The sequence below is a fragment of the Homo sapiens genome, chromosome 8 (genome assembly GCF_000001405.40).
Source record: "Homo sapiens chromosome 8, GRCh38.p14 Primary Assembly".
Lineage (NCBI taxonomy): Eukaryota > Metazoa > Chordata > Mammalia > Primates > Hominidae > Homo > Homo sapiens.
In genome coordinates this window covers 128,063,587-128,088,889 of record NC_000008.11, presented here as the reverse complement: position 1 = coordinate 128,088,889, position 25,303 = coordinate 128,063,587, and the positions used below count along the sequence as shown (strand labels likewise).

Genomic DNA, 25,303 nt, shown 5'->3' with positions numbered 1-25,303 from the left:
CTGCAGAGTGAAGACTACATTCTCTCCCGAAACCGCTGGTCTACACAACTAGCAAAATAGCCTCTTGCTTGTGGGTGTATCTGGTAATCATGGCAATAAGTGAAAGAACGAGTTTTTCTTGAACAGTGAGTCTATACCAGCTGAGTACTGGACCTTTCACAGTTGATATTTATGGAACACTCCATCCCCAAACTGCAGAGGATGCATTCTTTTCAGGTGCACATGCAACATTCGTCACAGGACACTGAGCCATAAAATAACCTCAACCACTTTCAAAGGACTGAAGTCGTGCACAGCATCTACTCTGAGGACAATGGAAAGAAACTAGAAGTTAACAATAGTAAGTAGGTAGACAATCCCCGAATACCTGCAAATGGGGAACCTCGCTCAGTGCTTGGCACAAAGTAGGCTTTCAATAATATTACCTCCATCCCCCAACCCCTGCCCCAACATCTTTCTCCACCTCAGGTATGACCAACCCCTCTGCTGCTGCTGAAAGTGAAGGTAAACCAGCAGCCAAGGACATTGCTGAAGCCCTGAGTGTGTCTTTCACTGGCAAGTCTGCGCCACGAGCTGGGACCGTGAATTAACCTTGGCCCCTGCGCTGAGCCCATGGGCTTTCACGAGATCCATGCTTAGACAGGAAGACCTCCACCATTCTGCCAAACAAGGCACCTAACTTGCTGAGGGGGCTGCCCAGGTATGGGGTGAGGCTTGATTTAGTAATGGATCTTGTTCTGCTTACTCAGAATATTTTCTGGCAAATAAAATCAAACTTGTTTTGTTTGGGGAATTTAACTGTTATGTCTTGAGGGAAAAAAAACAAGTAGCGGCTGGGCACGGTGGCTTACACCTGTAATCCCAGCACTTTAGGAGGCCGAGGTGGGCAGATCACTTGAGGTCAGGAGTTTGAGACCAGCCTGGACAACATGGTGAAACCCCATCTCTGCTAAAAACACAAAAAATAGCCGGGTGTGGTGGCACGTGTCTGCAATCCCAGCTACTCGGGAAGCTGAGGCAGGAGAATGCTTGAACCTGGGAGGTGGAAGGTGGAGGTTGCAGTGAGCCGAGATTGCTCCACTGCACTCCAGCCTGGGAGACAGAACGAGACTCCATCTCAAAAAAAAAAAAAAAAAAAAAAAGTAGCACATCAGGAATGTCAGCAGAGTTAGAGGGTTTCCATGATTGCAACAACACAGAAAACCAGCAAAAACTTTGGTGAGCCAATCATTCAAAGTAAATAGGAGGCATAGCCCTGGCATTCTTTGGGTTGGAAAACGATGTGGGCCCTTAGTTATGCTTAAGAGTTTGCTTGAGCTTTTCAAGGCCAATAATGGGAGTGATCCATGTTTTTGATTCATTAACTAAAACGGCAGTTGTGGTGTTAATAATCTGCCACGCATAACAGCCTGGGGGAGGGACACATTATTGCCAGATGCCTGAAATGTGTAAACAACCACAGTTTACAGAGACAAAGCTGGTTGCAGCATCATTTTCCGGCAAACTAGGATAATGTCACCTAGGCACAAATGAGTGGAAAATTAAGATCTGAATTAAAAGACATCTAAAGAGACTGATACATGACAAAACATCCTTGGCAATCAGTTCATGGAGGCTCTCACTGGGATTCCATCGAGGGAAGGGAGTTTAAAAAGGTACGATTACAGCCCAGTTTTGTCACATCTGAGCTGTGGAACCATGGGCAAGAAGTTTCACCTCAGTTTCCTCATCTGTGAAAAAGGGGTGGTAGTGAAAGAACCTACCTCAGAGGGCTATTGAAGACTGAGATAATGCACAAAGATGCTCCACTATTGCCAATCACATAACAGTAAACAATATTGGGCACTGATCGTGCAACCTAAGCAAAGACGCTGCATTATGACAATTCTGGGAAGTAGATAAGAAAATTAAAGCTCAGGAAAGCTAAGACATTTGTCCAAGGACATAGCTGTAAATCATAGAGTCAAACTCAGTCTAACTCCAGAACCTCAAGAAACTTCCAGTCCAATAGGAGTAATCAACAGAAACCACTCCCAACAATTCCAGGAGAGCCAGCCATGCAGCCCAAGGGACAATATGCTGGAGCCAAACGCAGCCAGGGCCCACCCTGTAGGAACAAGGAGTTAAGCTGTTCCATTTGAGCTGGGTCTTGAAGGATGTTTTGGTTTTTACCAGAAAGAGAAGGAGGTAAGAACATCCTTATCGGAAAACCCATACTGAACAAAGTAAGATGGTATGGATGAAAAGAAATTCTCTGTTTAGGTAAAGCTGACAAGACAGCTGTTGTGGTGTGAGCTTTGGGTTTGTTGGAGCCTTTTATGACTATTTCTGTGTCTTTGCAAACATTCTTGTTAGTACAGTGCTGTGGGTATAAGTACAGGCTCTGGTGTCTGATGGTCTAAGTTGACATAATCAAGCTGTGTGACTTTGGGGAAGAGACTTAACCCCTCTTGTCCTGAAGTAGGTTTGCCTTTCACATGAGGATTAGCATAGTAGCACTTGGGGCAGCCGTACTAACTGCAGAGCTCCATGTGAACACTTAACGTCAAGCCTGCTAGGAAGCTGATGCTTATGCTTCTGTCCCCCTAGATGTGGCCCTGGGTCTCCCTGTGTCATCCTTTTGCCCACTGCCTAGACCCCCCTCTGCCCATTGGCTGGAATACTCAAGGAACTACTAGTTCGTGTCCTAAAAAAAGGAAATTCTCAAGAACCAAAGAGAAATGGGGCTTGGACTATTACTATTACTAGGGATGAGTTACTGCTGAAAACAACTTATCGACTCACAGCCAGATTTAGGGATCTGACTTCATCCCTTTTGCAAAATACATTTTGGCTCAATAACTGTGACATGATGTCATTTGAATTCTAACCATTCGACGGCTGACAAGGAAGGCACTTTTTGTCTGGACCACAAGGATGTCTGTACTAATCTTTGTGTTTTATCGTATAAAACAGAATGGCAGATTGGAGACATTCATACAAAGGTACATTTGCTTTAATGTCTCCTCTTACACTTCACAAACTCTAATCTTGGGGATCTCGTTTTTTGCCTGGGCTTAGCTAGGTGCTTATGTTAATCAGTCTTTAAATCAAAGATGCTAAGACATACATCTTTTCAAATTTCAATATCTCCAAAACAGGTATGTGTCCTACAACCAGTGGCATACAGTAATGCAGTAGTTTAATTGGAAGCATTTGTTTCTTTCTTAGTACACATGAATTAAGGGTGAGTCGTAAAATGAAAGCATCTTAAGTTTGAGAAAATATTGTTTGTGTGGAGAAGCGTGCTAGGTTTTGGACAAAACTTGCTTTTGCTTGAAACAACAACCACATCAATATATGTTATCACTCTTAACTTACAGATGAGAAACCTGATGCCCAGAGTGTTAAAAAAAAAAGGTTTTTCTCATGATTGCCTAGTACATAGGAGGAAGAGTTAAGGTGGGGTTCTCATTACTATTGTGGATTACATATTTACTGCAAAACTTAGTGTTGTAAAACAATAATTGTTTCATGTTGCATGATTTTTTTGGTCAAGAATTTGGGATGGGCTTGGCTGGGTGCTTCTCACTTGGAGTTTTCCATGCCCTTGTAGTCAGATGTCAGCCGGGCCGCGGACTTTTGAAGGTGCAGAGGGCCTACATGTGCATCCAAGATGGCGGCTCTCAGGATTGCTGGCTGATGCTGGGAGCTCAGCTGAGGCTACAAACAAGAGCACCCACCAGGGACCTCTTCGGCTTGACAGTCCCAGTGCTTTCCCTGGAATAATTATGCTCAGAAAACCAGGCAGGAGCTGCATAAAGCAGTCACAAGCCTGCACAGACTCAAGGAAAAGTCATATATCCCATCTTTCAATGGAAAGAATATCAAGGAACAAGGTCATTTTGTTTTTAAACCACCACAGATGGGAACCTCGTTCTGACTGGTACCAAGACCCCATATTTGGAATGACTTGTCTGGTGCCTGGGAGCAAAGCAAGAAAAAGAGAGCGTGAACTAATCATGATGAATAGGATTTTTAAACCAATGCAAGAGGGTTCATCCAGTCACATGTAGCTTCATTTTCACTTTCATGTATTCACTTTGGAACCTCAAACACTGGTCCAGCATTGCTCCCATTATTCAGAACATATCTAGAGCTTTCTGGGAAGTGGTTTCAGGGCCAATTGAGCAGGCTCATAAGAAACATCAGGCTTAGAATTCTGTCAGCTATACCTTATTTCTAACCTAAAATGGCTCTTTGTAGTTTAACAAATATTTAGTGATCACCTGCTACAGAATGTTCTGGTTTCTGTGGATTCCTTGATGAACAAAACGATACCTCATTCTTCACTTGGCTTACATTTTGCTGGAGGATGCAAAAAATAACCAAATTTGTAATAACATCTGCAAGTCATCAGTACTACAGATAATGATGGGAAATGAGGGGCGGGGGAAACTCTTTTAGAGGGAGTGGTCAGAAAAGGCCTCTCTGAGAGTTGACATCTGAGCAGAGAGCCAGGCAGATGTGCAAGGAAGAGAGAGTGTTCCAGAAAAGGAAAATCGTATGTGCAAAAGCCCTGAAGCCACACTGGTCTCAGATATGTCTGGCCCACAGCAAGGAGGCCAGTGTGGAAAGTAGAATAAACAAGGGGGAAAGTGGCAGAGGAAGGGTGCACCTGGGGTTCACTAAGGACAGAGAAGGCACTTAGGATTTTAATCTGAGATGAGATCCATGGGAAGATTTTGAGTGGTTTAGTCTCATGCTTTGGTTCACATTTTTAAAGGATCCCCTGGCTGCCAAGGGGGGGATAAAGGATAGAGTAGAAACAGGAAGATAGATTAGGAGGCTCCTGCAGTAAATCAGGCTAAAGGTGGTGACAACTTTGTCTGAACTGTCCTTGGTGGAGAAGGTAAGTAGGGGGTAAAAAGAGCAGATATTTGTTCCATAGGATTTGCTAATGGACACACCTACCAGTTGATCCTTTAAACTCATGAACAAGGTATATTTCAAAATATTGCTTAGTGGCTGCCCAAATTAGAGTGGGACCCCGACAGAGGTGGCAACTTGGATGGTAGAAAATGAGAGACCCAGGTTACACCAGTTCCCTCAAACACTAGCTGAGGATCTTGACCCTCACTGCATAGAAAGGGCAGGAGCTCAGGCATTAGCCCTCCCTTCTCACTCTCACTCTCTGGCAAAAAAGGTATGAGGAGAGTCAAAGAATAAACCACTAGTTGGAAAGACCCTCTCAAAAAAGGAGTTCACAGATAAGTCTAGAGCCTTCAAAGGCGGCTGCCAGGAGAGACCCAAGCCCATTTGCATGGGCAAGTTTGGGTATTTCAGCCATTCAGTTGTTGACACGACTTGGTAGTCACAGCCTCTCCTTTGCAAGCCAACGTTCTCTAAGGAGCCTTTTTTTGTCAAAAAGAAACCACCATTGTGGCTGCTTTGAGACAGATTTTAGGGGGAGTTTCATGCTCTATGAGCCTCAGTAGTGAAAGGGTGAAGGTTCTGCTTAAATACCACAAGTGGCCCAATGATGGGATCAAGATGCAAACCCAGGCCTATAATAGTGACTACTTTTCTTTTAATTTTACTTTGACAAGCACATCTGCAGCCAATTACAATGCGCCAAGCGATGTTCTAATCATTTTATAAAATGTTTAGCCATTCGATGATCCTAACAATCATATGAATTCAGTATCACTATTATCCTTTATTCAACAGTCAATACACAGTTACTGAGCATTTTATACATGAGAAAAGCGAGTCACAGAGAAGCTAAGTGACTTGTCTAAAGTCACGCCACAGAGCCAAGATTAGAACCCAGGAACTCTTGCTCTGGAACTTTGGCACATAGGTACCATGTTAAGCTGCTCTACACTGTGCTTTGTTGGAAATCTGTATATCTATTAGAAATAATTTCAGCTGAAAATAAGAAACAATCCAAGTTAGAGTGACTTAAACAACAGGACATGTTGTACATAACAAGAAGTCTGGAGATAGTCAACTGTCTTAGGCTGATGGAACAGTTCAACAATGCTATAAAAAATCCAGACCTTTTCTATCTTTGCTGCTCCACCATCTCAGTCTATTGACTTGTCACCTCATAATTACCAGATGGCTGCTGCACATCCAGGTATCATGTCCAAGATCTAGGGAGGAAGAAAGGAAAGGAGTAATAAGCTTCCTTTGTAAGGGGCTTTGCCTTTTCATTTGAGAAGAGACTCCCTCCTCAGCATACTGTTCCTAACAAGACTGGGTAACTTGCCTGCCATTACCATATCTAGTTTAAACCAGTCACCAGGTTGGGATAAGAGTCTGACTTCCCTGAGACTTGGTGCCTCCTGCCAACCCTTTGAACATATTGATGTTCTGTACAGTGGGAGGCAATGGTTTTGAGGTAACAAGAGACAGCGTCTGCCATGGATGTTGCTACCCCATGATGGGAACATTGCAGCTAGAAGTCACAAGGTTAAGATCACATGACTGACAATATGGCAGCTCCAGAATACGAATGCAGGTCCATCTAACTCTAAATCTCATTATTTTAACTGTAAAGTAGTACATTGCTAAGTGGAGTCGAGAATGGATGGACACACATGTGGCTTTACCACTGAAAGCTGTAGCACCCCGAACAAGTTACTTAACCTCCCTAAAGCTCAATCTATTTATCTCTAAATTGTGGCTAGTAATGATGTTGAACCAAGGGGCAGCTATGAGTGTAAAATGAAATAATATATGCAAAGACCCTGACAATACTAAGCAATCAATAATTCTTGGCTATTTTTATTATTGTTGTCACTGCTATTATCACTCATTACCCTATGAGACTTTGTAGCTATAGTGGCCTTGTACTCAGATTAGAACACCATTTTGGGCGTCTTTGGGCTATCTGGTAATGGCAGTCAGTAGTGGGTAGGCCTGAAAGTGAGGGGGGGTGTTCAATACAATACTAATTACAGATTTAAGAATCTTCCAGCTTGTCTTGCTTGAATGTAGCGAGTCAAGGACTGGTGGCTCAAAATACAGGTCTACGGATCTACAATAGTTTAGTTTTAGCCTTGGTTCTGTTACTAGTTAAAATGCCGTTTGGCCAGAAGTATCTCATTTCTCGTTTTGGGACCTTTGTGTTTTCATCTGTACAGTGAAGTGGTTTTTCCATTATTGGTATTCAGTGTGTAGTGGACACTAATTCAGCAACTATTATACTCACGGTGCCATGGAAGCCATAGAAGAGCAGTGATAGGGGATGTGGATCTCACACTCAGAAAGCTTAGAGGCTTAGGAACCTTCAGGGTTTCTTTCAGCAATAACATTTAATAACATTAGCCAGAAGGCAAGGCTAATAACCCCCAACCCAAAGGTTTATTCTGAGGATTAATCATGTTAGTGACATTGTAACGAAAAATCTCTGAACAAATGCAAAAAACATATAGCTATGGCAGTTTCCTAATGAGCTAAACATAGTCTCACCATGTGATCCAATAATTGCGCTCCTTGGTGTCTACCCAAATGAGTAGATTTCCTCTTCCCACAAAAACCTATGTACGAATGTCTGTAGCACCTTTATTTGTAGTTGCCAAAAATTGGAAGCAACTAAGATGTCCTTCAATAAGTGAATAGATAAACAATCTGTGGTATGTCAAAATCCCAGCAAGTTATTTTGTGGATATCTACAAGCTGATTCTTTTATAGCGAGGCAGAAGACCCAGAATAGCTGACACAATACTGCAGGAAAAGAACACACAAGCTGGAGGACTGACACTACTCAACTCCAACACTTCCTATAAAGCTATGGTCATCAAGATGGCGTGGTATTGGCAAAATAATAAACAAGCAGATCAATGGAACAGAACAGACAGCCTGGAAACAGACCCACATATATATAGTCAACTGACCTTTGACAAAGGAGCAAAGACATTGCAATCGAGGAAAGATAATTTTTTTCAACAAATGGTGCTGAAACAACCAGACATTCATTTGCAAAAAAAGAATCTAAATATAGATCTTAAACCCTTCACAAAAATTACCTCAAAATGCATCATAGACCTAAAAGTAAATTTAAAACGATAAAACTCTCAGAAGATAACAAAGGAGAGAATCCTAGATGACCTCGAGTATGGCAATAACTTTTTAGATACAACACCAAAGCCACAATCTATGAAAAAACTAATTGATGACCTGGACTCCATTAAAATTAAAAACTTCTGATCTGCAAAGACACTACAAAGAGAATGAAAAGACAAGGCATTGACTGGGAGAAAATATTTGCACAAGACATGTCACTTAAAGGAATTTTATACAAAGTATACAAAGAACTCTTAAATCTCAAGAATAGGGAAATGAGCAACCCAGTTAAAACATGAGCAAAAGAACTGAGCAGGCATCTCATCGAAGAAGGTATACACATGGCAAATAAACATATGTCATCAGGGAAGTGCAAATTAAAACAACAATTAGATACCACTACACACCTATTAGAATGCTGAAATCCAAAACATGAATACCAAATTCTGGTAGAGGATTTGGAGCAACAGGGACTCTCATTGTTGGTGGGAATGCAAAATGATATAGCCACTTTGGAAGACAATTTGGCAGTTTTCTATAAAGCAAAACATATTCTTACCATAAGATCTAGCAACAGAACACCTTGATATTTACCCAAATAAGCTGAAAACTTACATCCACACAAAAACCTACACACAAATGTTTATAGCAGCTTTATGCATAATTGCCAAAAACCTGGAAGCAACCAAGATGCCTTTCAGTAGGTGACAGGGTAAATAAACTGTGGTACATCCAGACAAAGAAATATTATTCAGCACTAAAAACGAATGAGGTGTTAAGCTATGAAAAGACATGGAGGGACCTTAAATGCATATTACTAAGTGAAAGAATCAGTCTGAAAAGGCTACATCCTTGGGAGGCCGAGGCGGGCGGATTACGAGGTCACGAGATTGAAACCATCCTGGCTACCATGGTGAAACCCTGTCTCTACTAAAAATACAAAAAATTAGCCAGGCATGGTGGCGGGTGCCTATAGTCCCAACTACTCGGGAGGCTGAGGCAGAAGAATTGCTTGAACCCAGGAGGCGGAGCTGGCAGTGAGCCGAGATCACACCACTACACTCCAGCCTGGGCGACAGAGTGAGACTCCATCTCAAAAAAAGAAAGAAAAAAAGAAAAGGCTATATCCTATGTGATTCCAACTGTGTGATTCTGAAAAAAACAAAACTATGGAGATTAGTGGGTTGCCAGGGGTTAGTGTGAGAGAGGGAGTAATGAGGAGAGATAGGGGAAGCACAGGGGAATTTTAGGGCAGTGAAACTATTTTGTATGATATTATAATGGTAGGTACACAACACTATGCATTTGTCAAAACCCACAGAACTATACAACACAAAGAGTGAAGCCCAATGTAAACTATGGACTCCAGTAACTCTTAATGTATCAATATTAGTTCATAAATTGTAAAAAATGTACCATATTAATTCAAGATGCGAATAATAGGGGATATGACGGGAGAAGAGGAGAATATATGGGAATTCTATACTTTTGACTCAATATTTTTGTAAGCCTACAACTGCTCAAATAAACAGCCTATTAATTTACATACACACAGAGAGCTGAGCAACAGTCATATCCTTTGATCTAATGATTCCACTGATGAGATCCTCTTGAGATACAGGACATACTAGGAAGAAAACTTTATTTACAGAAGGGGAAGAAAGTCAGCAACCTGTAGTTCATCACAAACAACCACATGGATAAAAGCAAATTTCAAAATGGTAGTTGAAAAGGTTACAGAATAAAGTGGACAATGCTTGTGGAAAAATGTAAATGGAAAAAAAAATTGGAAATCACCTTAAGATAACAACTATGTAAAAAAAAAAAAAAAAAGAAAAGAAAAGGAAAAAACCCAAAAACAAAACAAAACAAAAAAACCCTAACTAGCCAAGTGTGGTGGCTGGTGCCTATAGTCCCAGCTACTCGGGGGGTGCTGAGGTGGGAGAATTGCTTGAGCCCAGGACGTCGAGGCTGCAGTGAGCCATGTTTGCGCCACTGCATGGCAGCCTAGGCAACAAAGTGAGACCCTGTCAACACTGGTATAAACGGACATAAATGGGGTATAGCACATTGATAATGATAATTGATAGTATGTTACCAAGGGCACAAGATTAGGATAACTATTTTATTCATTTTTTCAATTTCTTATATTTGACTTATCTTCTAAAAATATATATGAGGTCTTATATATATATAGTCTACGATTCCTACAGTTAGGGGGAGAAAAGACAAAAACTGGCAGTAAAGCTAGATGGCTAATAACAATAACACCACCTCCACCTCCTCCATTACCATTTCTTAGGAACTGACTACGTGGAAGCCACTGTTCTTAGTACTAAGTTCTAAGTAATCTGGGCTAACCCACTCAAAGTCGCAGAGCTAGAGAGCATGGGGTTGCTTACAAGCAAGTAAGAAACTGATCTCTGAACCTCTGGCTTATTCAAAATATACTTATTGAGAACCCAGTAGAGTCACCAGGTGCTTCAAACATGCAAAGAAAAATGAGAAATAATTTAGAGAACAAGGAGGGGAGTTTAAGAAACCACTTACTCACTCACTCGCCTACCCAGCAAGCATTTATGTATTAATTTCTTACAAGAGGCTAGGCACTGGAGATACACATGATTAAATGTTATCTCTGGCCTTTAAGAACTGCCACTCTACTCTCCTCAGAACCCTACATCTTCCAACGTGTGACATTTCTAATCGTGGACAGGCACGCTAACTGTTTAAGAGGCTGGGACCACAGGCATAAACTGAAGCTCCACCAGCAAGCCTGGATGTGTGATCACCCTAAGTCAGACTTGGAAGTGCAGCTCCTGAAGGGCAGGAACCATCCCCACGACCCCTCTCTGCCCATTCTAGTTCACTTGAACTGACTTTTGGTGTCAGGAAATTTATTTTTGTTTCTACCCCATCCACCAACCCCACACCACCAAGCATTTCAGATCAAGTATCTGTGAATCATAGGTCAGGTTGACTCATTTCTTAAAGATTCCAGGCTGTGAATGAAAATGGTATTGATGGCTGGGAGGATGATCAGATGTAGGGAGTGTCAATGTGACTTGTTCTACATTTATCTACAAAAATGCAAACCAGATCTGCAAGCATTTTATTAAAATGAGGAAGGCAGCTGCTGAAAAATTTGCAGAGAGGCTTGATAAATGGAAACGATCACCATTCCTGTTTTAAAAAACGAATTTATCATGTACACCTTCCTAATGACATTTTCTCTATTCGTGGTACTGCCTTTTTGGTTTATCTTGGTTAATGTGAAAAAATGCCCAGGGTGGGTTTTTGGAAGCTCAGTTATAGATTCAGTGCTTATAAAATTATGAGTTTTTTTTCCATATAAAACAGGAAAAGGGAAATAAAAGAAATGTGGATTGAGCACCTATTGCAGAATCTCATTTCACCCCCTGAAGCCCAAGCAGGTTAGGAAGCAGATGCTAGGAGAGGGTTAGTCACCTACCCCAGCGAGCTCAGCAGCGGAAAAGCACTGAGCTTTGGTCTCCTTTGGTAGAAACCTGCTCAACCAGGGAACACTTAACTAAGGGGTGTTCAGGAACAGAAACTCACAGTAGGGGCAAAAAACAAAGTTCTGGGACTAGGGGAACCAAAACCCCAGACACTTAGATGGGCTATGCCTCCCACGTGGCTTCACACCCATTTACACTGACCTTTCACCTTCAGAACCACATTGAGTCTGCTGACCCATGTGAAACACCCAGCAGGGAGCCATAACTCTTGCCCTACATGGAAAGCCTCATTGGGCCCCCTAGGGAAACCCGCTGGCATCTGAATCAGATCCTGTGACCTCTGTGGTCCTGAGCCTCAAAGCAGGGGAATACCCTTTGCCGTGGATCCACCACAAAGCCTCAGGGCCTAGGTGAGAAAACTTCACCTGTGAATCATGGCAGCTCAGCACCTTCTCTGGGCCTCTCTCAGAAGCCCCTGAAGGGCTTAGCATGTGTCACCAGGGGCCAGGACAGCTGCAAATTCTCCTGTGAAACAAGAAGATTTCATGGGCTCTCGTGGTCTCTGAGGATGCCTCATCAGTTCATGAGATGACCTATTTGCAGGTGACAAGGCTCACAAATGCCAAATGAATCACTCATAAGCGAGTGTGGTTTTCAACTTTTCAGTGTCATTTTAGTGGATACCTGGCTCACTGGGAATTGTGATGTCAATAGACGGAAGCCCAGAGAAGGTAAGCGACTCGCCTAAGAACACACAGCTAGAATTAAACAACTTTGGAAGTAGAATTCAGGGGTCCACAACCTTTTTTCCCATCATCATACTGCCTTGCTTAGAACAAAGACAAACCTAAGCAAAAGAAAAAAATATATATTCATTTTAATTGGATGGTAAAATAGTAGGAAAGAGGAGGAAAATCTGAAGACAATACATTCCTTGCCACTCATGGGCTCTTTGAGACATTGTCTCAGCTCAGAGCTCTGGGCTGGAGCTTGGAACTTTATCAGGAATTGCCCTTCCCCACCCCAACATATAGTGAAGGGTGAGCTAACAGGACATTCTTTATGTCAATCCTGGTGGCAGTGTGTAGGCCCAGTTATTCAGTCTAAAGAGCTTCAGGCTGCTCACTGGGTCCATTGTGCAGATAAGAGAAGTAACGTCCCGGGAGAAGAAATGATCTGCTCAAGGAAACCCAGCTGGCTGTGGGCAGAGCAGACACCAGATCACTGTGTCACAACACAGAGTGAGTGGTGGTCAGCATCACTCACTATCCAACCCTGTGGGGTTCCCAGAGCACAGGGTACTTCTCTAGACTGTGAGGACAAAGGAAACTCTGGTCCCTCTGACAACACTTCGAATTTTACATAATCTGTCTACTGGTTTGATATAATTTCTAAGGCAAGTGGCTGATTTTGATAAAATGTGTTGTAGCTACCAAAAGATAGCAGTGAACCTGGCTGGGTTTGTCAACTTATACAAGAGAAGCGATCTGTAAGTATAATGAATGGGAAAGCAGATAAATAATTTGTGTATTTGGTCCAAATAAAAGGTGGGTACATCCACATGAAACAATAGAACAATGTAGCAGTTAAAAAGAATAGAGTGGCTACCATGGATAGCACTCCTCAATATATTGCTGAGTGAAAAGGGGTAAACTGCAAAATACTCTACCAGAGGTGTACACAATAGTACTCAGTGTGTATATGTGCATGCGTATACACTTAAATGAATTAGAATGGTCTGCAGGAATGTGCTCTAAAAGATAACAAACATGACCTACACAGAACTAATGAGGAGACAAGGATTGAAGATGGGTGAGCTAAAAGGACTTTGGCCTTTTGTGGAAAATTTTTAATTTTTCCGAAATGAATGCAATCATTTAATATTTACGTAATAAAAGATTTTTTTTTAAAAAAAGGAGAAAATAGAAATATAATTTTAATGATTCATCGATCTATTCATGCACTATTTGAGCATCTATTATGTGCCAGGCATGAAGAAGGTAAAAAAATCCAGCCCCTGACCACAAGAATATGTTCTAACACAGAAGGAGGAGGTTTCCTGCTTATAAGCATGATGAGATATATTACAAGTGCTCTGGTGAATGAAGAAATCAGAGCAGAGTAGGAAAATAAAGAAAGGGATCTCCATGTTTCACGGGAAATCCAAAGGCCAAAACAGAGTCTCCAGTCAATTCTGCCAAGGCCTGCCATCTTGAAAAAAAAAGAGTATTATGACAACAGTTTGCAAAAGGACACATCTTTGTAATTTTAAAGTAATATCCATGATCTCTCACTTCAGCTAGAGTTCACAAATGAATATAATAGTACAACGGATAGTTTGCAGTTTGTAAACATATAACCCCCATGAACGGAGAGAGATGGTTTTGTTACTTTTTAAAGAAACTAACTCTTTGGCTGCATTTATCAGTACATATGGTTTACTCCACTAGACTAGAAATGGCTCTGCCAAAATTGCTGCTTAAATTTGGGTTTCTAAAAATAACTCATGGGAAGCCTGCAGTGTGAGAGGAAGATGGTTGCACACAGCTCCAGGGAGGAAAATCTCAAGCATTTGATTTGAATTACCTAAGAGCTGAAATTGAGTGCAAATATCTCCTTGTAGCAACCGCTATATAATTAGCCATCCTAACGGAATCCTTTCAAAACCGAGACAGTTCAACAAGTTATTTTAATTGAAAATAAATTTTCCTGACCAACTATTCTGTCAAAACCACATTAAATGAAGATAGCTCAGCAGTGACCAAATCACTATAAAAAGCATTACATGTTATGGGAGAAATGAGTGGGAAGGAGCCCCCCCCTTTTTTTTTTTTTTTTTAGACAGTCTCACTCTGTCACTCAGGCTGGAGTGCTGTGGCATGATCTCGGCTCACTGCAACCTCCGCCTCCCGGCTTCAAGCAATTCTCCTGTCTCAGCCTCCTGAGTAGCTGGGATTACAGGCATGCACCACCACACCCCACTAATTTTTTTTTTTATTTTTATTTTTTCATTTTTAGTAGAGATAGGGTATCACCATATTGGCCAGGCTGGTCTCGAACTCCTGACCTTGTGATCCACCCATCTTGGGCTTCCAAAGTCCTGGGATTACAGGCGTGAGCCACTGTGCCCGGTCGGGATATGCTTTTCTATATGGGCAAAATGTGGCAGTTTTCTGGGCTCCTTTTTCTAGCTTCATGTGTCTTCTGGTCTCTTGTAAAAAGTATTCCATTTTCTCTGCATCAATGTTACTGCTGGGGCTATCACTTGAATACAGTGCATCACTGTCTTCTGAAAAGAAGCAGCCAAGTTAAGATCTCAGAGATAAAGAGGGGAAGAGAAGAGAAAATGGCACTTGCTTTCTGTTGGGTTCATGACTAGCACAAGGACACCTTCCATCCCAGGAGGGCCACATTCATCCATCAGCTCTTGGAGAAGACTACAGAGACTTGGAACTGCCTCTGCACTTGGACTTTCATCTTTGCTACTTATCAGCTGTGCCTAGTTATTTTTAGCATCTCTGACTAGCAGTTTTCTCATCTTAAAAAAAAAAAAAAAGAAAAAAAAATTGTTGTTATTCTCACAGCTCCCAGGATGGTCAGGAAGGTCAAATGTGTGCACAATCAATCTGGTATTCTAGACAGTATCTGCAACTGCCTGTGTGAGGAGGGCTAGGGAGGGGACCAGACCCTTCCTCACAAGTTGAAATGGGTTGGCGCATGAGGAGGGCTAGGGAGGGTAGCAGACCATTCCTCACAAGTTGAAGTGGGTTGATGCATGGACCAGCGGCATCAGTACTGCCTGGGAGCTCATTGCTAGAGTAGATGCTCAGCCCCACGCCGAAAAATTGGTCAAAAGTCTGCATTTACCAAGTACCCCTGGAGATTTGTGTGTGGTTCAAATTTGAGCCTCACTGGCTGGTGCCATCTCCCAGGTGTGTGATTCTATATCGGGTGACCTGTGTCAAAAGGAAGGGAGGGAGGAATGAAGGGATGGAGGGAGAAAAGGAGGGAGAACGGGGTCAGTTAAATTAAAAAACAATAAAATTAAAAGATCTTCGAGTTACTAGTTATGCAGGTTTAGGTTAAAACGTGCTCCCAAGGAAATCTAGACCTTGAAGCCATCCTTTTTGCTTAAAGCCACATCACTGAGCTTGAGATCCCCATTCAGACAGAACATGCTGCCCCTCAGACCCATCACCAGGTCTACATCTAAAAATGCTCAGGTGGGCCGGGTGCGGTGGTTCACGCCTGTAATCCAGCACTTTGGGAGGCCGAGAAGGGCAGATCACTCGAGGTCAGGAGTTCGAGACCAGCCTGGCCAACATGGTGAAACCCCATCTCTACTAAAAATACAAAAATTAGCTAGGCATGGTGGCGCACAACTGTAATCCCAGCTACTTAGGAGGCTGAGGCAGGAGAATTGCTGGAACCCAGGAGGTGGAGGTTGCAGTGAGTTGAGATTGCACCACTGTACTCCAACCTGGGCAACAGTGAGACTCTGTCAAAAAAATAAAAATAATAAAAATAAAAATAAAATAAAATAAAATAAAAGTGCTCAAGTGGACAAATGTGGTAAGGGAATGTCTCGTGCCACAGAAAGCTACCTGATTTATTTTTCCCCAAACCGCTAGGCACTGTGGTTAACCAGCCTTCTAAAAACACCAGCGGTGCCTGCCTCCAGTCCATTTAGCTTGGTTAAGAAAGGAAACATCTCTTCCAGAAGATTCTGAAATTCTGTTTTCCTGAGCCTCGCGGTGACTAAAATGGAGTTGGGGGGAAATGACTCTTAGACTTTTTGTCAGTGTAAGTGGAAACTGAGATGAGACACATAATATAAAGTGACATATAAAATCCTAATTTTGGAATAAGGAACCTGGAGATGGTCAGCTTATAAGGCACTTTTAAAATCCTTGCTGGGAGGAACTATAATGAAAACCTGATTTTAAAAATAAGGAGGTGGAGGCTCTGCAAGATTGAGTGGTCAAATTAGGAATTGAGCGCTGTGTCTTTTCCATCCCATGCATGCTTGTTCTGTGGCCCAGTATCCATGTCCCCAGCCACCTTCCAGAAATGATCCAGTCATGTGTTAGAAGAATTACACTATGTCTTTGTGGTCTTTGTCACCGAGTCTTCACCTGAAAATTGATTCTACTGATGAGGGGCGCAATGGTGATGTTCCCTTGGATAAAAGCCCAGTTTCGGAGCCAGAAGCTTTTGGATTCAAATCATGGCCCTGCTACTTAATAACTAACTTTTGGCAAATTGACCCCTCTGAACCTCTCAATTTCTTCATTTTAAAAAATGGCAACAATAGTAGCTAATAAGTATCAAGTGCCATTCTAGGCACTTTATGTTTATTAACTCTGTGAGCAGGTGCAATATACTATTATCATTCTTCATGTAGAAATGAGAAAGCTAAGGTACAAAAAATGAAGTGACTTTCCTAAGGCCACATGGCTGATAATTGTCAGAATCAGGATTCTGTAGGAGCCTGTGATGTAGCAATAATATATCAATGCTCTCAGAGGGCTGCCAAGAGATATCTATGAGATCGTAGAAATAAAATGCTTCCCAGGCCACCTGGCAAAGATAAGTGCTCAACAAATTATAACTATACGGTTTCCATTTCTTTTATTTTTATTTATTTATTTATTTATTTATTTATTTATTTTAGAGACAGAGTCTCAAATCTGTCTCTCAGGCTGGAGAGCAATGGCATGATCAGAGCTCACTGTAGCCTTGACCTCCTGGGCTCAAGCGATCCTCCCACCTCAGCCTCCTAACTAGCTGGGACCACAGGCATGTGCCACCAAAACTGCTTTTTTTTTTTAAAAATTTTTATAGAGATGGGGGTCTCCTTAGTTGCCTAGGGTGGTATTAATCTCCTGGCCTCAAGTGATCCTCCCGCCTCAGCCTCCAAAAGTTCTGGGATTACAGGCATGACCTGCTGCACACATCCTATAAATTAATTTCTTGAGCTAGCCAGAAACACAAGGTTACTATGGCATCCACGTGGCTGACAAGAAGGGGAAGTTGCTGCTTGCAGAAGTGATACTCTCTGACAGGTATTCATCTGCACCTGTCCTCAGCAGGCATTCTGCTTTGACATCATGGTGCAGGGCAGGAACTTTGGTGCTCTGCCCTTCGAATCTTTCTATTGATTTCTGTCACGCAGAACCTGCATGGGAACCTCAGCTGGAGCAGCTGGTGTGGAAATGGGTCTCATGTCTGCCTGGCAAAAAGAATTGCCGTTTCCAAAATGAGCTGGATGGATCTAATCCCCAAAGCAATGGACATGTATGAGTGACTCGCCGCTTCTGACATTCTCTGCAAATCAAACAGATGTGGGGGAAGATCCCTTATATAGAAGAGGCAGCATGCATGCAAAAAGTTGGCAAATGCAGAACTCTGATGTAGAAGACTCTGTTGGCTGCCAAGTTACTGATCAGCCACTGGTCTCTTCTTCTTTATTAAAATATTCCCAGTTCTATTCAGGGACAAGGGAGATAGCAATGTGCTCAAAAAAAGTCCATGGCAGGGGGAAGAATTGGCCCTGGCTTGAAACAGCCATGACAATCTTGTTATCTCTGTCAGGGACTGGCTGGGAGCTTACCTGGCCCAGTTTGGCCACTGAGACATAGGGGAAGTCTACTGGGGATTTCTGGGGAAAATTTTCTTCCCTAACAGAAGATAGGGAGTCACAGTAAAAGGGCCCCTTTTTTCCTGCCTGATGCTTCTTCCTGCTCAAAATGCTGTTATGACAAAGTGATGTCTGCAGCAGAAAGGGCCATCACAGGGATGCTAATCAAGTGCTCTGAGGTGGTTGAGCTGTCAAATGCATCCTTTTTGATGCATCTGCCAATACCAGGTGCTGGCGAGGACAGAGGGAAACAGAAATCTTGAGCACTGCCTGTGGAAGTGTAAACTGGTACAGTCATTCTGGAACACAATCTGGCAGTACTTGTGAAATTAAGTGTGAGTGTGCACTATGACTCACCCGCATCACAGTCCATATCAGAGAAACTCTCCCACAGTCCATATGGGTACAGGTGTGAAGAGCTTATCACAGAACTAGGCTGTGGTTACCTCATGTCCACTAGCAGCAACAGGAGAAGCAAACAGGGCAGGATCTATGGCATGGGCAGGGTAGATGCAGCTCCTCAGATGAACCAGGTGAACACAGAGCACCAAGACTGGCTCTGAAAAAGAGTGTTGAGTAAGCAAAAGAACCAAATTGAGATCTATAGCAGAATCCCATTTGTCTAAATTAAAAACAGATACCCAATCAGAACAAGACAGGGAGGATCCTCATGCAGGCCCTCATGCAGGGCCTGCAGCAAGCACACTGGAGTGGCTGCCTATGGAGGAGGGAAGGGAATGGGAATAAAAATTCCACATTTGTCTCCTCATCTCCTCTTGCAACAGAGGAGGCAAGTGGCTGGGGGTAGGGGGCCTGGTAGAGATCAATGATGATGATAATAATGACAATGAACAAAGAAGGCATTCATAATAAAATTCGAAAGAAAAAAACACAGCCAGATTTACAGTCAGAGAACCCAGGCGTGAATGCTGCCTTGATCCTTACTGGCTACGGCTCTTTGGCAAATCACAGTGCCTCAGTTTCCCCATCATGAAGAGCAGGTTTGAAGAGTGGCTCTGCAGAGCTGTTATGTGAGCATCCAAGGAGATAGTGTGGGGAGATTCTAAGCTTGGAACGTAGCAGGGGCTTCCTGGATGGCAACTGCCAGGAGCCCTAAGGACTCAGCTCTCTCCTCTATAAAATGGGGATTTACGTTACCCACCCAGCACGATTATGGTGCAGATGAAATGACACATGACCATGAGGGACAAAAAGCAAGATCATGAAACCCAGGAGCACCTCCTGCTCTGACCCCTGAGTGCAGCAGTGTGCGCTGTGCCCATGCCTGATACAGCAGCGAGGGTCAGGCTGTCCTTTCGTGACGTCATTCCTAGTGGAACATGGGCCTTACACATTCAATATATATTGCCTTTTACTTTATTCTATGGTAATGACTGAAGTTTAACTGAATAAGACAAGCTATAAAAAAAGAGAAGAGATGAGATGAAAGAAGAGAAAAAAAGAAGCTGTCATGCTCTTATTATTCCAAGTAGGCAAAACCTTCATTTTTCCAATGAACAGCTAGCCTCTCTCTATACAGGTTTTGTGTAATCTCAGGAAGGACGCAATACCTTATGTAATTGCCACATCAGAGATTGTCACTGCTGTCCTTAAGGTGCCGCCTCTTCTCCATGATGACCCTTCAGATGTCTGGGAAAGATTCCGTGAAACAGAAGGACCCTGGAGTCCACTTTGTTTCTAATTTGCCCTGAAGTGCAATAGGCTGCAAGAACCCCCTTTTGTCACACAGCTTTCTCATTTTCTGGAAACTGTCTTCTAAATAAACTTCCCAAATAGGGATACAAGGTCAAAGTAAGGCTTTGATGCCTCTTGACAAATTGTTACTCCAAAAGAACAAATTATGCTGCCACCGGCAATGGAGGCATATGCCAGGCTCTGACACATTCTTAAAATAAACCCCAAAACTGGCCGGGTGCAGTGGCTCACGCCTGTAATCCCAACACTTTGAGAGGCCGAGACAGGTGGATCACGAGGTCAGGAGATCAAGACCATCCTGGCTAACATGGTGAAACCGTTTCTACTAAAAATACAAAAATTAGCTGGGTGTGGTGGCATGTACCTGTAATCCCAGCTTCTCAGGGGCTGAGGCAGGAGAATCACTTGAACCAGGAAGTCGGAGATTGCAGTGAGCCGAGATCGCACCACTGCACTCCAGCCTGGTGACAGAGCAAGACTCCGTCTCAAACAAACAACAACAAAAAACACAAAACCTATTCTAATTTTTGGCAACCTGATGGGGGAGGTACATTACCGTTGTCTGATTTTCTGGTGAACATCACTGTGACTCCCAGGGACCCCAAGTTCACTGATGTGCTATTTTCCTCATATGAGGTCTGTGTAAGAGCACCCACATCTTGTTAAAGTGAGTTTTCTGCATAGAAAGAGACCTCTTTCATATAGGCAGGCCTGAAGGGTAGAGCGGTGGATGGGACAGAGAGAAAGCCAGGGAGAGGAGAATGGGAGCCTAAAGCCTCCTGGGAAAGAAGGAAAAACAGGAACAACAAATGAAAATGTTTGTGTAAAAAACTGCAAAACAGAAAAAAAAAATCTCACGTCCACTGAGGACACATCCCTGTAAAATGTATGCATGCACAGCAGGAACAGGGGGCAAGAGGCCAAGCAGACATGAAGGCAAGAGTTGTAATTGGGTGAGATGATGGCTCTGGGATTTGGGCATTCTTTAAAATTGTTTTTATAGATGTGGTTATATTGATTTTCAAATAAGATAACCAAAAAAAAAAAAACACAAAGTATGTTAGTCCAAGAATAGAAAAATAAGAGCAGAGTCAGAAGAGGAAAGGCAGAAAATGAAATAAGGACATGAAGACAGCATGATCAGTCTCTTCCATCCTTAAAACCCCTCTGGGGCATCCCTCAGGGCTAAGGATAAGGTCAAACTCCTTCCTGCAAGCAGGGAGGCCCCACATCACTCCTCCAGCCCCCTCCCTGGTCGCTGGTCACAGGTTGCTCCAGCTCACCCCTAACTCCAGTTCTCCAGCCCAGGCCTGGGTTGGGATCTCCACAGAGCATTCCTCTGGCTCCTCTGTTGGGTTAATCCCCACACCTCCTTCTGGGAAGAGCCTAAACATCCTTTCCCCCAGGAAGCCTCCCCTTTCCCCTAAAGTCGAATTGCTGCCTAGTCTCATCCTGCCAAGACATCCTGTGTGTTCCTTTTCTGAGTTTCCCACTGCAATGGCTTGTACTGAGCTGCTCCAATATAGACCTTTTGATTAGAAGTCTAACCATTTCAGGAAGGGGACATCACACGGGGACTGTGCCAGCCGTGGAAGGAAGGACTGGCCTTGGAGACAGGACAGGCAGAATGGGCTGGACAATGCCCATTAGATGACTCCACGTCAGTTTTCCCCTTCTACTCTCTAGCCCCACATCACCAATCCAATCAACTCTTTAAAAACTTATTTCTCAAGTGCCTGTTATCACCAAGACGTTGCAGTGAGAAATTGCAAAACCCAGGCCATTCCTTGAGTGTATAACCGAGTTAGGGAGTCGAGACTTCAACATGAGGATTGTTAGATAACCATGCAGCAATGAAGTATAAGATAAAACAAGATTGTCAAAGATTAATTGAGTGTGGGCACTGTGTGGTCTGGGTTCAGGAGAGCAGGGTCACTGTGGCTGCAAAGGAAAGTCCTCTGAGAGCCAGATTTAAAGGATACCCACAGGACAGGTAGGTTTGCAGGGGGTGGGGTGAAAGGATAGCATTCAGTGATGAAGGCCTAGAGCAGGGGAGGGGTATTGGATGCTCAGTGGCCAGCAAGAAGTCCCCTGAGGGAGGGTGTGTTAGGGTCAGAATTTTGAGAACCTTAAAACCCAATGAGAAGAATCTGCACTAGGAAAGAGACGAGTGAAGACCACATAAAGCAGTGCAGCTGATGAGAGTCATTTGTGAGGATAGATGCTCAGGACAGACTAGAAAAAGATCCTGGTAAGAACCTTTTATGAAAGTTAAAGTAGGAAGACAGGCATGTGGTACCAGAGCTGCCACCTCCCACCTACAGGCGTGGTGGTCAACACCAAGTCATTAGAGCCCACTTTCCTACCAGGCCCAGTTGGGACCTCAGAGTTGTTTCCCATTCAGGGCCAAGAAAACCCCTACCAATGGATCCAGAGTGACAGTTCAAACTTATTTTGCCTTGCAGGTTGTATTAGTATTAGTCAGAAGTGACGCTGTTATGCTGCACTAACATGTCTTTCCAAATTTTAGTGGCTTAAAGCAACAAAGATTCATTTCTTTTTTCAGCTGCATGTTCATCACAGGTCAACCTGAGATCATGCTCAATCTCAGCATCATCCAGACCAGGCCAACGTGGCAGCCTCTACACATAGCACTGATCAGCAGCAGGCCAGAAGAGAGAATGACCTCTGGAGGGTTTCTCACTAGAATTCCAACATGAAGGCCAGAAATGACATGTCAATTCTGCTCACTACTCCTTGGCCAGAATTGCTCACAATGGGTAAGAAAGTTCAGTCTTACCCTGTGGAAGGCAGAGTCAGAAACAATAAATGGCCTAAGTATATCCCCTTTCAGGTCACATGGAATTTACTATTCATCCATTCAACTAGCAAGAACTTATTTTAAAATGGCATGCTCTGCACCCAGCCACTTTCCTTCTCATTATCTTCTTCTATTTTCTTCATAGTAATTGTCACTATCTGAAATATCTTAACTGAAATGCCTTAATTGTTTATGGATCTGTCATCTGTTGTTGCCTGTGTCACAGACTAGGTTCTAAGCTCCCTATCTGCCTTGTTGGCAGTGTGGGGCACACAGTAGGACTCTCAGCAAATATTTGTGAAATGAGTAGGTGAATGAACGAAAGGTTCCACAGGGCAGGGACTCCGTCAGCTTAATTTAGTGTGCACAATGTCCAGCACATTGTCGGAACTCAGTGGGCTGCTAAGAAGTTAGCCAGTTTTTTGTGTCTGCTTGAAGTGACATGACTCAGCACTTCTTCCCCCCTTGGTGCATTTCCTCTCTCTTTCCCCCTACAGGGACTTGAGAGCTGAAGACTTGAAGCTGAAGACTGGTCTTGACAGATACTATGCCTATTGATTTCAACCCTGAGATCCCCCCACTAACCTTTCTCCCTTACCCTCAGGGTTCAGGGCCAAGTTTCAGACTGGCCTGAGAACATAGGGACCAAAGGGAAAAAAACAGCCAGAGTGAAAGAGAAATGAAGAAGAGACTTCTGGCTGGGCGTGGTGGCTCACACCTGCAACCCCAGCATTTTGGAAGATTGAGGTGGGTGGATCACTTGCAGTCAGGAGTTCAAGACCAGCCTGGCCAACATGGCAAAACCCTGTCAATGATACAAAAATTAACCAGGCGTGGTGGCGTGTGCCTGTAATCCCAGCTACTCTGGAGGCTGAGGCATGAGAATCCCTTGAACCCAGGAAGCACAGATTGCAGTGAGCTGAGATCACACCACTGCACTCCAGCCTGGGAGACAGAGTGAAATTGTGTCTCAAAAAAAAATAAAAAATAAAAAAGAAGAGACTTCTGAGAGGGATGTAACCAGCCCTTGCACACGCATGCACATGCACGTACATTGTAAATGCTTCACTCTAGTCTGGCCTCTTCAGGAACTTGCTGTGTAAACTTGGGCAATTCCTTCCCCCTGTAGGCCTCTGTTTCTCTGATAGTAAAATCTGGGTATTGAAGAAGCACATTTCTAAGGGGCCTTCCAGATCTAAAATGCTACAAGCAAGAAATCATCTAAGGGCATATTTCTCAGAGCAGGGTCCATGGGGTGACAGCTTTTATAAGGCTTTTGTAGGCCTCACACACATTGTATCAAATGCATTAATTGCACTCATATCCTTCATTAAAAAATAATTCCTATGTAACTGTAAAAGTTGAGGCGAACTTGACAAGTTGACATAAAGTTCTATAAAACATACAGTATAACTATTTCTATTTTGCAGTTTTGTTTTCATATTTTTCAGCTAAGAATTTTACATGTTTGTTCTCAAGTTTGTTTGTGGGTCTTTGAAATATCAGTAAGTCCCAGACATTCTGTTTATAGCACTTAACTGGTCAAATGGGACTCTCTCAGATGTTCGGTAAAAATGTCATTTGCAGGCAGGGCCCCACCCTAGAACCACTGAATTAGAAAATCTGTTGGGGGAACCCAGGAATCTCCATTATAGCACATTTCCCAGATGATCATTTGCAAACTGAGGTTTGAAAACCACTGCCATAAAAAGAGGCTGAGGAAATGGGCTGGGGGAGGCAATTAGGGAGGAGGAAGGAGGGTTAAAAGGTGACCAAACAAGGGTGAAAAGATGACGGTGCATGGCTTACATTTTGCATGTGTGCAAATGTGCTTCTGCCCACGTGAGCCCACACGTTCCACCAGAGTAAATACATTTTGTAAAACCATGAATCGCTCTCTGCTGAGCCCCTCCTCCAGGCCCGGAAAACAATACTCAAACTCAGTCTGAGACTGCATCCCCTCTGGTGATTTACAGGAGGAGTTAATATTTCTAGCATATCATTGGGCACCCAGCCTGAAGACTGAAGGTGTTTCTGCCAGGGACGGGTACTGCAGGAAGGACTATCAATAGCGCTGTCACCCAGATGCTTGCGGCAATGAGTTCTAGCTTTGGTTAGTAATACATACTAGCTCCGTCAGTGATCAGTCTTAACTCATCCGTGGGGATGGGGGTTTTCTTTAATCTTTTTTTTTAATTCACAGATAAAATTGTATGTATTTACTATTTACAACACGATGTTTTGAAGGACACAGTGGATACATTATGGAATTACTAAATCTAGCTAATTAACATGTGCATTACCTCATGTAGTTATCCTTTTTGTGGTAAGAACACTTTACATCCACTCTCTTAGCCTTGTTCATGAATACAACACATTATTAACTATAGTCAAAATCGACTTCTTGAACTTATTCCTCCTACCTAACTGAAATTGTATATCCTTTGGCCAATATCTCCCCAACCCCCTCCCCAGACTCTGATAACCACCAGGCTCCTTTCTACTTCTTTGAGATCAACTTTTTTAGATTTCACATATGAGTGAGATCATTTAGTATTTGTCTTTCTCTGCCTGGCTTGAGCCACACACACAAAA

General features: G+C 43.1%; 1 long non-coding RNA gene across 51 annotated transcripts in view, besides 5 other annotated features; it reads right to left on the bottom strand.

The window, feature by feature from the left end:
- Positions 1 to 25,303, bottom strand: part of PVT1 (Pvt1 oncogene) — a 306,733-nt gene that overhangs the window by 12,367 nt on the left and 269,063 nt on the right. For 21 of the 51 annotated variants that reach the window (NR_186144.1, NR_186151.1, NR_186131.1 and 18 more), the window contains one exon: positions 18,618 to 18,730. The exons of 7 other annotated variants lie outside the window; for them this stretch is intronic. This is a non-coding gene — a long non-coding RNA (Pvt1 oncogene). Of the gene's footprint in view, positions 1 to 6,041; positions 6,138 to 14,598; positions 14,821 to 15,398; positions 15,488 to 18,528; positions 18,731 to 25,303 lie in introns of all 51 variants that reach the window. 23 more of the 51 variants (NR_186156.1, NR_186146.1, NR_186145.1 and 20 more) reach the window with 9 other exon arrangements.
- Positions 18,360 to 18,519: a silencer, noted in NCBI's record as "silent region_19536". NCBI's record gives its function as "represses an Ori minimal core promoter by ATAC-STARR-seq in GM12878 lymphoblastoid cells {active_cell/tissue: GM12878}" and the evidence as "EXISTENCE:reporter gene assay evidence [ECO:0000049][PMID:35858748]".
- Positions 22,535 to 23,734: an enhancer, noted in NCBI's record as "MED14-independent group 3 enhancer chr8:129077402-129078601 (GRCh37/hg19 assembly coordinates)". NCBI's record gives its function as "activates an origin of replication core promoter dependent on BRD2, BRD4, P300/CBP and CDK7 cofactors, and independent of MED14, by STARR-seq in HCT116 cells {active_cell/tissue: HCT116}" and the evidence as "EXISTENCE:reporter gene assay evidence [ECO:0000049][PMID:35650434]".
- Positions 22,535 to 23,849: a biological region, named in NCBI's record as "MED14-independent group 3 enhancer GRCh37_chr8:129077402-129078601".
- Positions 22,848 to 23,347: an enhancer, noted in NCBI's record as "H3K27ac hESC enhancer chr8:129077789-129078288 (GRCh37/hg19 assembly coordinates)". NCBI's record gives its function as "activates a minimal SCP1, AML or CMV promoter by ChIP-STARR-seq in primed H9 embryonic stem cells {active_cell/tissue: H9 hESC(primed)}" and the evidence as "EXISTENCE:reporter gene assay evidence [ECO:0000049][PMID:30033119]".
- Positions 23,348 to 23,849: an enhancer, noted in NCBI's record as "H3K27ac hESC enhancer chr8:129077287-129077788 (GRCh37/hg19 assembly coordinates)". NCBI's record gives its function as "activates a minimal SCP1, AML or CMV promoter by ChIP-STARR-seq in primed H9 embryonic stem cells {active_cell/tissue: H9 hESC(primed)}" and the evidence as "EXISTENCE:reporter gene assay evidence [ECO:0000049][PMID:30033119]".